The sequence below is a fragment of the Homo sapiens genome, chromosome 5 (genome assembly GCF_000001405.40).
Source record: "Homo sapiens chromosome 5, GRCh38.p14 Primary Assembly".
In the NCBI taxonomy this organism is placed as follows: domain Eukaryota; kingdom Metazoa; phylum Chordata; class Mammalia; order Primates; family Hominidae; genus Homo; species Homo sapiens.
Window position 1 is genome coordinate 160,717,142 of NC_000005.10, and position 12,798 is coordinate 160,729,939.

Sequence of the window (12,798 nt, forward strand, 5' to 3'; positions counted from 1 at the left end):
TTGTTTTGAATTTTACATATACTTATGATAGTAGAAAAACATGTGTGGAAATAATACCAAGTTTAGGACAACAGTAATGCTTGGAGAAGGAGAGGAATTGGAGGAGAATACACAATAAACTTCAACTATATCTCTAAATTTTTTCAAAGAAAATCTAAAACAAAAATGATATAATGTTCAAATTTGATTAGTTGGATAGAGGGCAAAGCCTGGTGTGTCTTTGGGGAGCGTATGTATATCTCCAATTCTCTTCTTCTGTTGTTCAGTTCTCTTTTTCTGTCTCAATTTTCTCTCTTCCTGTAGAAAAAGGTCTGAATCCCTGAGAACTGCCTTCCCTGCTAAAAGTTCAAGCCCTCAGTGAACTTGGGACAGTTTGTTCCAAAGTGAAGCAGTTTTGGAGAGCACCTGCTTTAACGGTGATATATTGGTTGAGAGCTTATCAAATATCACACACTAAGCTAAGCCTTTCACCAATATGAATTTATTTAATCCTCACAAGATCCCTGGCGCTAAAACTATTGTTATTCCCATATTACAGAAGAGGAAACTAGGGCTCAGTAAAGTTAAATATCCTCCCTAAAACCCTACAATTCATGGGAGCATGTTTCAGGTTGGAATCCATACTTGTCTGACTTCAGAACTGGGGCCCAAATCTGCCATGCTGTACTGAGACACTTAATGAGCTTTATTAAAGTCCAGTCACACACCCTGCTCCATCTCCTAGTAGACTTCTAGGAAGGGCTCTCTGGTATGTACCCAAAACTAGTCACAAGGGATAAGGCGGGGTGCTGAATCTGGAATGAAAACATAGGTTGGATTTACCCTGTACTTGGTGGGATCTCAGTTGGGGGGCCACAGAGGGCCAGCCAGGCTGAGATCAAGGAGAAAGCAAGCAAGGGGCTAATTGCTCAGAGAGAGGATTTGGTCTAGAAACTAAAGAAATAGGAGGGCTGCTTAAGCATTTTGTTATTCATGGTCTTGCCTCTGCAGGGCAGAAAGCAGCAATGTACTTGAGGTAGAAACTTTGGCCAGGAATTGGATGCGTACACTGACGTCCCTAGTGCCATTTCTTTCCCAAATCTAAACTAGGTGACTAGTTTTGGGTACATACCAGAAAGCCCTTCCTAGAAGTCTACTAGGAGATGAAGCAGGGTGTGTGACTGGATTTTAATAAAGCTCATTAAATGTCTCAGTACAGCATGGCAGATTTGGGCCCCAGTTCTGAAGTCAGACAAGTATGGATTCCAACCTGGAACATTAATCACTCTGCATTCTCCTTGTCTTAGTCCATTTTGTGTTGCTCTAACAATACCATGGTCTCAGAATATCAGAGACTGGGTAATTTATAAAGAAAAGAAGTTTATTTAGCTTATAGTTTTATAGACTGTGAAGTTCAAGGGCATAGCTCTGCTTTTTGGTGAGAGCTTTTGTGCTGCATGCTAACATGGTGAAGAAGACATAGGGAAAGGGTACACACACAAAGAGACAAAACCCCAGGGGTGTCCTGGCTTTATAAGAACCCACTCTCATGGGAACTAATCCATTTTTGTGAGAACTAATCCAGTATCATCATAGCAAGAACTCACTCACTACCTTGGGAATGGCACCAAGCCACCCAAGAGGGATCCGACCCCATGGCCCAAACACCTTTCATCAGACCCCACCTCCCATACTGCTACACTGGGGATCAAATTTCAACATGAGTTTTGGTAGGGACAAACCAAACCCTAGTAACCCTCTAGAGTGCTCCTCGTGAACAGGGACTACGTCTGGTTCAAGATCCGCCACTGTCCCGGCACATAGCACAAACTTGGATGTTGAATAAACAGATGAATAAACAAAGGAATAAGTAAACTCAACAGGATTGAAGTTCGTCAGAGTTCTTTGGACTGGGACGGAACAATTAGCCAATAAATAAAAAAACTGTATTAGGTTGGTGCAAAAGTAATTGGGGTTTTTACCATTAAAAGTAATGGCGGCCGGGCACGGTGGCTCACGCCTGTAATCCCAGCACTTTGTGAGGCTGAGACGGGCGGATCACGAGGTCAGGAGATCGAGACCATCCTGGCTAACATGGTGAAACCCTGTCTCTACTAAAAATACAAAAAATTAGCCAGGCGTGTTGGTGGGCGCCTGTAGTCCCAGCTACTCGGGAGGCTGAGGCAGGAGAATGGTGTGAACCCGGGAGGCAGAGCTTGCAGTAAGCCGAGATCGCGCCGTTGCACTCTGGCCTGGGCAACAGAGGGAGACTCCGTCTCAAAAAAAGTAATGGCAATAACTGCAACTACTTTTGCAACAACCCAGTAGTTCCTGGAGGGCAAAGGCCAATGCATGATTTGTGTTTGTATGCCTTGCCTTGCCTAGCACTGTGTCCATAGTAGTGCTTGCTGAATGGTTGCTGAGTTGAATGGAAATGAGTTATTAAATAAAAACAGAGATTTATAACAATGGACTGGAATGGCATAGGACATTCAAGAGATCCGTATGTAAAGAGCCAGTGACTTGTTTGAACATAATCTCAAAACTCTACTATAAATATTATTGTCCTCATTAGGAAAAGTAAAATAATATGGCCATTATTTCGTCCATTCTATGTGCCAGGTGCTGTTGAGTAGATTATCTCTAATACTTACCATCACTTTGCAAGGGAAGTGTGATTATTACCATTTTCCAATGAAGAAACTCAGTCCCAGAAGGTTAAGCAGCTTCCTGAAGCTCAGATTATAAAAGACCCAGGCAGGATTTATATGCAGGTCTCTCAGGCCTATGATTCTGCCATCCCAAGAAAAACTAACAGAGCTATTATGGTGGTTAGACTTTTTCCTTTCACAAATGGAATTGCAGCATCAACAAATGGCAGGAAAGAAGTTGCATTTCTTCCTTCAGTAAAGATTCTGAAATGTCCTGTAACTCCTCCCAAGGCATTGGTGATTTTATGGCTACTCTGAATTTACTTGAATTGCAACTGCTAACCTAATTGTTTTCTGCTGGCAAATGTAGTGAATGTAATATAAGCCCTTATTTCCCCTTGGTGTGATGTTATGAATTGGTATTATGCTTATGGCAACTCTTTGTATACCGTAAAAATACCAACACTAATCATGAAAATAAATGAAGGGGAAAATAACCTCCAAAATATGTGCTTTTGCAACATTTATTAGAAAGCAAAAATGAAACACTGAATGTAAAGGCTATAATTTATTTTCTTTCTTTTTAAAGAGGCTTTAAAAACTAAGTGCGATGGAGTTTAAAATGAAAACACTGGCTTTCTTTCCTGGGAAATATGTCTCTTAACAAGCTTCTTAAACACTTTTCTTTGCTCCAGGGTCCTCTGGACTGAATTAAAATTAAAGTCAGCTCTCTTACAACTTTTCTTATGAGTCAGTATGCCTGAAAGCTTCTTCAATCAGGCGTTGGCCAAGAAATCTTGATCCTTGTTGTGTGATATAAAATATTCTTTGCGATGACTATCTTCTTATTTCAACAATTTCAGCACAGTTTTCTGGAAGATTCTTCTTTTTCTTCTTTTCTGCATTTGCAGCTTTTCCTTGAGTTTATAGCCCTCTCTTCCTGATAAGCTCAAACCATCCTTTCCTCATGTTGAAAATTCCTTCCTGGATGTTTTACCACATGGGTTCTTAGTTTTTGAAAGAGAAATGTTGCCTTGGTCAGCACTGTAGCTTTGGTAGAGAAGCATATAATTTGCATGCTGCTTACAAAGGTTTGCAATAAAAAATTATTCCCTCCCACAACTAAGCCGATTGCTTTTTCTTACTATTGTTGATTACACTGGACTGATTTCAATTCCCTCAGTGAATAATTGGCATAAGAGTTGGTTGCAGTAAGTAAGCCTGTTGTAAATACAAGTTGGTGTTGTCATGAAGTATGTGCATATGTGTGTGTGTGTGTGTAAATATTTATAATAAAAAGCAGTTTAAACATGGAAAGTTGCCATCTGGGCCTTCATAGGTTGGAGACTGTGCACACATCTTGCTTTTTTTGAATCACAGAACAGGATGTCAGAACACCTCGGGGTTCATGGACCATGGTGCTCTGTCCGTATGGACTGTTAATACATCCTGAACAATGAATATCCGTGGGAAATCATGATGATGCTCACTTGATTTACAATATTGATTTTTATCAAAAAGAAAATAAGGTTTTGAGGTACAAAATAGATTCTGCTAGATATCTAGTACTGCCACATCAGGGCTAATGCTCTCACTTTTGCCTCATTTAGGCCCCAGGCCATTGTCACAAGTGTCACTGCATAAAGGAAGAAGTGTGACATAAAGAGTTCTGAACAGGCTGCTGCAGTGCCCCTCAAGATTTCCAGTGAAGCTTCTGAAAATTAAACTTTTAAATCTCTGTCATTTAGGCCAGTCATCATTATCTTTAAAGTTTCAGATGACTGGGAGACTGATGAGAGGAAAATGTGAGAGGCAGGTGGAAAAGGCTAAGAGGATGGGGCTACTGTGCTGGTCAGCTAAGATGGGCCACATTCAAGCTGATGAGTGGGTTCCTAGGCCAGTCTTACAAAGAAAACATGAAGAAGAGCTAAAAGACAGAACAGATGGCTAAAAAGACTTCTTTTGACTTTATATTCCCCGATTACTATCCACACAGGGCTGACTGCTCTCTTGGCTCTTAGATTCTATGAGATGCTCCTGATTCCTTTCAATATGCCCTCCCTTAATAAGACAAAATTAAGAAACAACTCCAAAGCTGGTCCTGTCTTGGAGCCATTATAGCATTTTGCAAACAACTGGATCCAGACTACCTGGATGCAAATACTAGCTCTGCTTCTTTCTAGCTGTGAGTCTCAACCTCTCAGGATCTCAATTACCTTCTTTGTGTGGGGATAATAATAATATATACCTCTTGGGCTGTGAGGATTCCATGAAATAATATTTTTAAAACATTAGAACGAGTGCTTCGTAGGAAGTATTTGTCATAAGTGGCTGTTAACTAAACATATCCAAGCAAACAAACACATTTCAGATAGCCCACGGGTTCTTATGAGTCTATTAATCTGGGTTAAACATCTCATAATTTGGATTAAAATTTGTGTTTATACTCAGAATGGGATATTATTTCTTTGAAGATTACATTCCCTGGAATATCATCTATACAAAGACTAAGAACCACAAATTAAAGACGAAATAATGAATATAACTCATTTCCCCTTCTCCCATCTAAAATCAGGGGAAATTATTATTGAGGCTTCACTTTGTACTCATTCGTACTGTCATGTGTTCTGCCTATATTCTTCCCACTGGGTTGTTTTAGCACCACGTGAACAGATCATCCATTCCCTTATGGACTTGGTTGCTACCTTAGCTGCTCCCAAGAATTTGAAATATTCATTCCAGACCAAACAGCCTTTCTGCTGGCAGCAAGCATGTCAAAACACAGGGAAAAAGATTCAGGGATTAAAAAAAAAATAAGGCACAGAAAACAGGACTTGCCATACCAAATGGAGCAAATCTGATTTACAAATGATCTCTAACCTCTGAGATCAGCCCAAATAAAGAAGCATCTGCCATCACTGGGAACATCCAACACTCTTCACCCTGACAAGGGGCCTCCAAAGACTCGATTCCATTTCAATCTAATTGGGTCCTTGCCCTCTCCTGCTTCCCTCCAGCCATGCACAGCAAGCCAAACCATCTTGGGATGGAAAGCCAGCCCAGAGATGAGCAACACCTTGACAGTGGAAGCAGAGAGTGGAGGCAGGGCAGCAGCTCTGCTAATTACAGAACAACCAGGTGCATTGATTTCAGCTTCATACAGAGCATACTGAGATTACTGTCCATGGAATCTCAGACCTTTCACTGATGGCTGTGTTTAGATAGAATTTTCCTTTCGCCAAGGCATAGCATACACAGAAATCTTCCTGCATGAACCATCTAACCTATCTGTGGTTCATCTTAATGGCAGTGACCACATTTTCTAAGTCACAAATGGACAAGTATGTGTGTGTGAGATGAACAGTGCCTATGTCAAGAGAGATGTCCTGGAAAATCTGGGCTGACTATTTTACCTTTTCATACTTCTATGCATTAAATATTCATCGAGCATATACTAAGGTTGAAATGCTGTTGCAGAAGCTGGTGATATGGCATGAACTTGACAGGTGAGACCATTGCCTTCATGAAGCTTACATTTTGGTGGAGGAGATATATAAAGAAAAAATAAACAAGATCATATCAGACTGTGTTTAGTTCTCTGAAGGAATACACAGGGAGAAGAGGAGGAGGATGTAACAGTAGCTAACTATTATGCACCAGACACAATTCTAAGCATTTTGCTTGTATTAACTCATTTATCTGTCATAATCACCATATCATTTTGGTTATTTTCCCCCACTTGGCAGATGAGAAAATTGAGGCAGAGGGAGTAAGCATAATTTGTCCCCAAATGGCCATGGCAACTTCATCCTTTCAGTTGTTGGTCAAAATTTTTTGTGTCATTCTTATTTCTCTCTCTCCCCTTCATTCTCTCTCGCTCTCTTTTCCTGTATCTAGCCATATAAAATTAATCAAGAAATACCATGTTATTTACACTAATGTATAACAGTCTATTTCTTGTTGCCTCCACTAATACTACCCTGATCCAGGTCACCACTATATCTCCTACCTGATTGCACTTTTATTTTGCCTCCTGAGTCTGTGCTTAAAAAAGCACACGTACGTTCACTGTAGCATGAGTCGCAATAGAAAAGACATGGAATCAACTTAAATGCCCATCAATGATAGACTGGATAAAGAAAATATGGTACATATACACCATGGAATACTGTGCAGCCACAAAAAAGAATAATATTATGTCCTTTGCGGGGACATGGATGGAGCCATTATCCTTGGCAAAGTAATACAGGAACAGAAAACCAAATCACTGCATGTTCTCATTTGTAAGTGGGAACTAAATGATGAGAACACAAGGGTACAGAGAGGGGAAGAACATACACTGGGGCCTATCGGAGGGTGGAGGATGGGAGGAGGGAGAGGATCAGGAAAAATAATGGGTATTAGGCTTAGTACATGGGTAATGAAATAATCTGTACCATGAACCCCCATGACACAAGTTTACCTGAGAAGCTATAATTCCTTTTTTTTTTTTTTTTTTTTTTTAGAGACAGAGTCTTACTCTGTCACCCAGGCTGAAATGCAGTGATGTAATCATAGCTCACTGTAACTTTGACCTACAGGCCTCAAGTGATCATCCCACCTCAGTCCCCCAAAGTGCTGGAATTACAGGAAGGGGCCAGTGTACCTGGCCACATCCTTAAAAATATGTCAAGTTATTTCTCAACTGCACTCAAAACTCTCCATTGGCTTCCTATATGTTTGGAGTAAAAGTAAAGTACCATAACTATAATTCTAACTATAATTCCTTTGTATTTGTATCCCTTAGTTACTCTGCAGTTAATACTGACAGCCCTATACATTCTGGCCCCTCCTCTCTTCTCTGATCCTCTTTCTAAGTTCCCCTTCTCTCTTGTTCAGTCTGCTCCAGCTATAATGGCCTCCCAGTTGTTGTTAGGGCACACAGGTCATGTGCCCCCTCAAAGACTTCAAACCTGTGATTACCTCTGTCTTGATACCTGCAAACCTCCCTTGAGCACCTCCTCTGTTTCTTGCTCTTTTTAATGAGAACTTCCTTGACCATCCTATTTAAAACTGTAAGTTCCCTCCACTCTGGGAGCCTTTGTCCTCCTTCCTTGCATTTTTTTATTCAAAGCATTTATCATCTGATGTAATATATACATTTACATTTTTTGTTTGCTTATTGCCATTGCTTTCCACTACTAGCATGTAAACTATATGAAAACAGGGACTTTTGTCTGTTTTGTTCATTGCTTTTTCCAGAAAGCCTAGAATAGTTCCTTGTATGTAGGAAACACTAAATAAATATCTGTTGAATTAATGAATTACGGAAGAAGACCTATTCCTCTGACTTAATAAAAAAGTTTAAGATTAAAAAAGATAATGATGTCTGATTTAGGAAAGAAACAGGAGAAAGAATGACTGCAAAATAGATGAAGAAAGGAGGATATACTTACAGGGGAAGAACAGTTTGAAGAGATGGCAGTCATAAAAATAACCTGAACATACGGAAAGCAAAATCTTTGGTTGAGTTCACTCAAGTTCTGTCTTCACTGATTACCCTGCTTTACTCACTAAGAATGTCTGTGACTTGGGGAAAACTACCTTCTTCACTCTAGTTCTTGCAGTAAAATAAGGGCAGTGCATGAATGTTTCATCGTCTTACCTAGATCTAATTTTCTGGATACATCACAGGCTTACGATGGGATTTTTTTTTTTTTTTAGTTGCTCTGTCGCCAAGGCTGGAGTGCAGTGGTGCGATCTCGGCTCACTGCAAGCTCCGCCTCCCGGGTTCATGCCATTCTCCTGCCTCAGCCTCGCAAGTAGCTGGGACTACAGGCGCCCGCCATCACACCCGGCTGATTTTTTGTATTTTTAGTAGAGACGGGGTTTCACCGTGTTAGCCAGGATGGTCTCGATCTCCTGACCTCGTGATCTGCCCGCCTTGGCCTCCCAAAGTGCTGGGATTACAGGCGTGAGCCACCACGCCCGGCCTACTATGGGATTCTTAGGTAGAAGATGCACTAGCCTGTTGCCATTGATTATTCTGAATGCTACATTGGTGGGAAGAAATGGAGTGAAGGAAATGGCAAAATCTGTGACTCAGATTTTTTAATAATCTGGAAACCGAGGCCCTGAACCAAAATTTTTTTGTTTTTTTCTTTTTGATTATAATTCTGTAGAGAGAAGGACATGTAGTCAGGGAGTAGTATGGGAGTTGGAGAAGGCATTTTTGGAGAGAATAAACATGGAAGGCTAATCTCAATCATGGAATGAGAGTCTGGGGAAGGTGTGCCTTTTCCCAAACCACAGAACAATTCTAGGAAGCATCAGGAAAGCCACTGAGAGACGCGCGAGCCTAACTCAGGGTGGTGCAAGTTCCATGGCCTCACTAAGACGTTGCTTCATAACATGGTCAATGTCACTCTGGGGTGCTTTAGACCTTTTCTCTGCATGGTGAGTTTATTGTTTGCTCACACCAGGGATAAGTGCGGGGTTTTTCTTAGGAAAGTTGCCTGGCATGCAAGCCCAGCCATGTAGGCCCAGAAGAGAAGCACAGACAAGACTATTGTATAACCAAGGTGAAACAGGCCCAGGCATCAGCAACAGCCTGAGTATTTTTGGAAAACACATTTTCATCTTCAATTTACACCAGACTTGGAGTGGAGCTAAGTCATTACAAAGTGTGAGTCCTGTTCATCCCAGCCCTAGACAGCTAGCTTTGTTAAACAGATGCCATCAGGTGCTGTCTCTGGGAGGCAGGATATCCCAAGACTGCTGCAAGAATCTGGTTCCCTTAAATTTGGCATTTCCTTATTCACAGCACACTGAAGTGACATCTTCCTGTCCTGAGAGAAGATAGAGAGTTGAAAAGGGAAACAGAGAGAGCAAGGGGGTGGGGGAAGAAGGGGAGGAGGAAGGAGTAGGGGGGGAGGAGGAGGAGGAGAGATGAAGAAGAGAAGGCTGCAAGTGTGAGCTCTCATTTATTGGGTACTATGAAAGGAAAATATCTTGGGCCCTTTCAAGCTGGAAACTGCTCAGGGCAAATCTGCCTCCCATTCTAACAAACTCATCCCTCTGCTCACAGAGATAGATCCATATTCTGATTGCCTCCTTTGGAAAGACTTATCAGAAACTCAAAAGAGTGCAACCATTTGTCTCTCACCTACCTGTGACCTGGAAGCCCCCGGGGGTGGGGTGGGGGACTTGCTTTGAATTGTCCTCACCTTTCTGGAAGGAACTAAGGTACTTCTTACATATATTGATTGATGTCTCAGCTCTCCCAAAAATGTATAAAACCAAGCTGTGCCCTGACCACCTTGGGCACATGTCATCAGGACTTTCTGAGGCTGTGTCACGGATGGGTCCTCAACCTTGGCAAAATAAACTTTCCAGATTAACTGAGACCTGTCTTAGATTTTCTGAGTTTACGGTACCTGCTACATATTAGTATTATATTGGACATTATACACTGAAAGCATGAACGCCGATCCCTACAAACACCACAAGGGATAGGCACCTCTATCATCATTTTCCACAGGAGAAAACTGAGGCTTACAGGCATAAGTGAATGGCTGAGGCCACACAGGTATAAGTGGTACAGCCTACACAGGCCTGCCTGATTCCAAAGCACACGCATTTCCCGGTATGCTTTGTGAAAACAAAGGTAAAGAAGGTCAGGAAGAATATAGATGCAGGGTTCAGTGTGGTAAAGAAGTTAACCTTGCCTAAGGGAGGTCTGGCCTTTGTCCCTGGCTTCCGGTCATCTCTAAGCCCTTGGAATGTTATTCCTGAGGGTGTTTTCATTTTTATTTGCCTGGTGTGTTGGGTCCTGCCAAATAGTTTAACAATGTTTTTTTAGGGTGGGAACTTTGGGTCCCACGGTATCAGCTCAACTTCCAGGGGTGTTGGAGACTGAAATCAGCTATGTGGTCATACAACCCATAAAGGAAAATTAAAAAAAATCTCAGGATCCCAAAGTCCTTATGCCAAAGGGAAGGTTAAACCTACAGCCTGAGTCATGCAACACCCTCTTCCAAATGAGTAGCTGTTACTAGCATTATGCATTAGCCAGACCACCAGGAAAGGTAAAAGGCCTCAGGCATCTCCAAGTGTGACTGCCTCCACAGATCATTCATAGGTAAATTATTTTTTGGCCTCTTGTGAACAAGGACATACCAATTGTAACTTTAGGTCTACAATCTAAGTCTTGCTCCTAAAACTAATATCTGTTTGGTTTCACACTGATAATGTCATTACAAGCTTATCTTCCCAGGTGTAGAAGAAAGACAAGAGATCAGTCAGCTCTCTACCTACCCAGAGAAGTCTATGTAATTGATTCTTCCTTTACTTTTTTTTTCTTTTCAAACATTCACCTTATCTTATGTAAAATGTAGATTTACTGGGCACTAACTAAAGTCTCACAAGAATGTAACCATTCACCTTACTGCCTACCGTCTCTTCTTCTTGGATGCCTGCCCCTCTTTAAGGAAATGTGTAAATACTAAACTGCCTGAAAACCTATTTGGAAAAATAGCCACAGACATGTGTGTGGCTTGAGTTTTTCCCCGATACACCCTGAAGCTGGCTTAACAAACCTCTATTGATTGAGATCTTTGCTTTAGTCACTTATTTCAATTATCTAACTATACGTATGTGATAGAGCCCCAATACAAACTCTGGATACCATGGCTCAAGGGAGCTTCTCCGGGTGGCAACACTGTGTATGTTGTCTCACACTGATGCCAGGGAAATAACACACCCATGGCTCCATGGGAAGAGGAAAGTGGGAACTCTGCATTTGGGCCTTCCCTGGCTCCTGCCTAATGTGTCTCTTCTCTTGGCTGATTTTAATTGGTGCCCTTTCCATGTAATAAGACCTAACCATGAGAATAACAGCTTTCAGTGAGTTCTGTGAGTCCTGATAGTGAATTTTTCACACCTTTGGTCTTGGGGAACCCCAAGACATGCAATTGTTGTCAGACCTTAGGGTGGTCTTATGGACTGGGCTCCCTCTAATTTCACTGTTTCACGGAACCCTTTTGCTGGCTGCTTTATTCTCTCAGAATGTGTTGTTTTCATCTCTTTTTGTTTGAGTAACAAGCCCCTGGAATGAGCCACTACTTCACTGGGCTGGGACAGCAGGAAATTGGGTATGTGGGTCAAGCCCAGGAAAATGAAAATCAAGCAAGGCCTGGGAATGGTGGTTTGTTGCTAACAAGGGGAGGGTCTGGACATGGCAGCCACAGAGCTCCCTGATCCTTGTCTCAGCTCTGCTGCTGATTTGCTGAATAACTCTGGGGAACAGAGGCTAAATCTCTCTTGGCCTCAGTTTGCACATCTGCAATATGAAGATACTGAATAATTACATTATTGTTAGGCCCCTTAGGGCTTCAGATTTTCTGGGATTTCATAATCTGACAGCATGGAATGATTAAAAACTCTCTGGAAGCTTATAATGCAAGGGAGAAGTGTATTTTTCCATTTCTGGGTATTCTCGGTGGGCTGTGCCACTTGGTTCATCAGAGCATAGCACTAATGCTTATTGCTAGCACATATCTGAGCTCCACAGAGGGCAGTTCATGACACAATTTCTTCTGTCCTTCTGCCTTTCTTTCTTTTCTCCTTTCCAATGACTACTGTGTTCCACCTTTGTGTCAGCTGCTGCGCTAGCTAACAAGGATTACAAAGATGATTATGACAGATGCCTGCCCCTCTGCCCTAAAGGGGCTTGTAATGGGGTAGGGAATTGAGTCATGGAAGCAGCTAAATAGACTAAACAAAACAAAAGGCTAACTAAATCAGAGTAGCGGTACAAGCAAAGATTGAAGGAGTAAATGAATTCAGGAGGTGACAACGGTAGTGGCAGTAGCAACGGCCTACAAGGAGGTTTTATTGGACTCGAAACATGAATTTCAATAGGTAGAGATAGGTCAAAAGGTCTTTCCAAGAGGAGAAAATGGAAAGAAGAAAGACACAGAGATTTGAACTATAAAGAGTGTTTGGGGGAATGGCCCATAGTGAGCAGGTGGGTTGTAGAGTGAGGTGGGGAGATGGTGGAAACAGGAGAGAGAGTGAGAAGTAAGGCTGAAGAGAGTAATCAGAGCCCGGACAGCCTTGTCTGTCAAGTCAAGGCATTTTAATCTTACTTGATAGCAATGAAGAGATTTTTGAAGAAGGAAGGATATCT

General features: G+C 41.8%; 1 protein-coding gene across 12 annotated transcripts in view; it reads right to left on the reverse strand.

Moving 5' to 3' along the window:
* ATP10B (ATPase phospholipid transporting 10B (putative)) overlaps nt 1–12,798 on the reverse strand; it is a 366,241-nt gene that overhangs the window by 154,022 nt on the left and 199,421 nt on the right. The window lies entirely within an intron of this gene.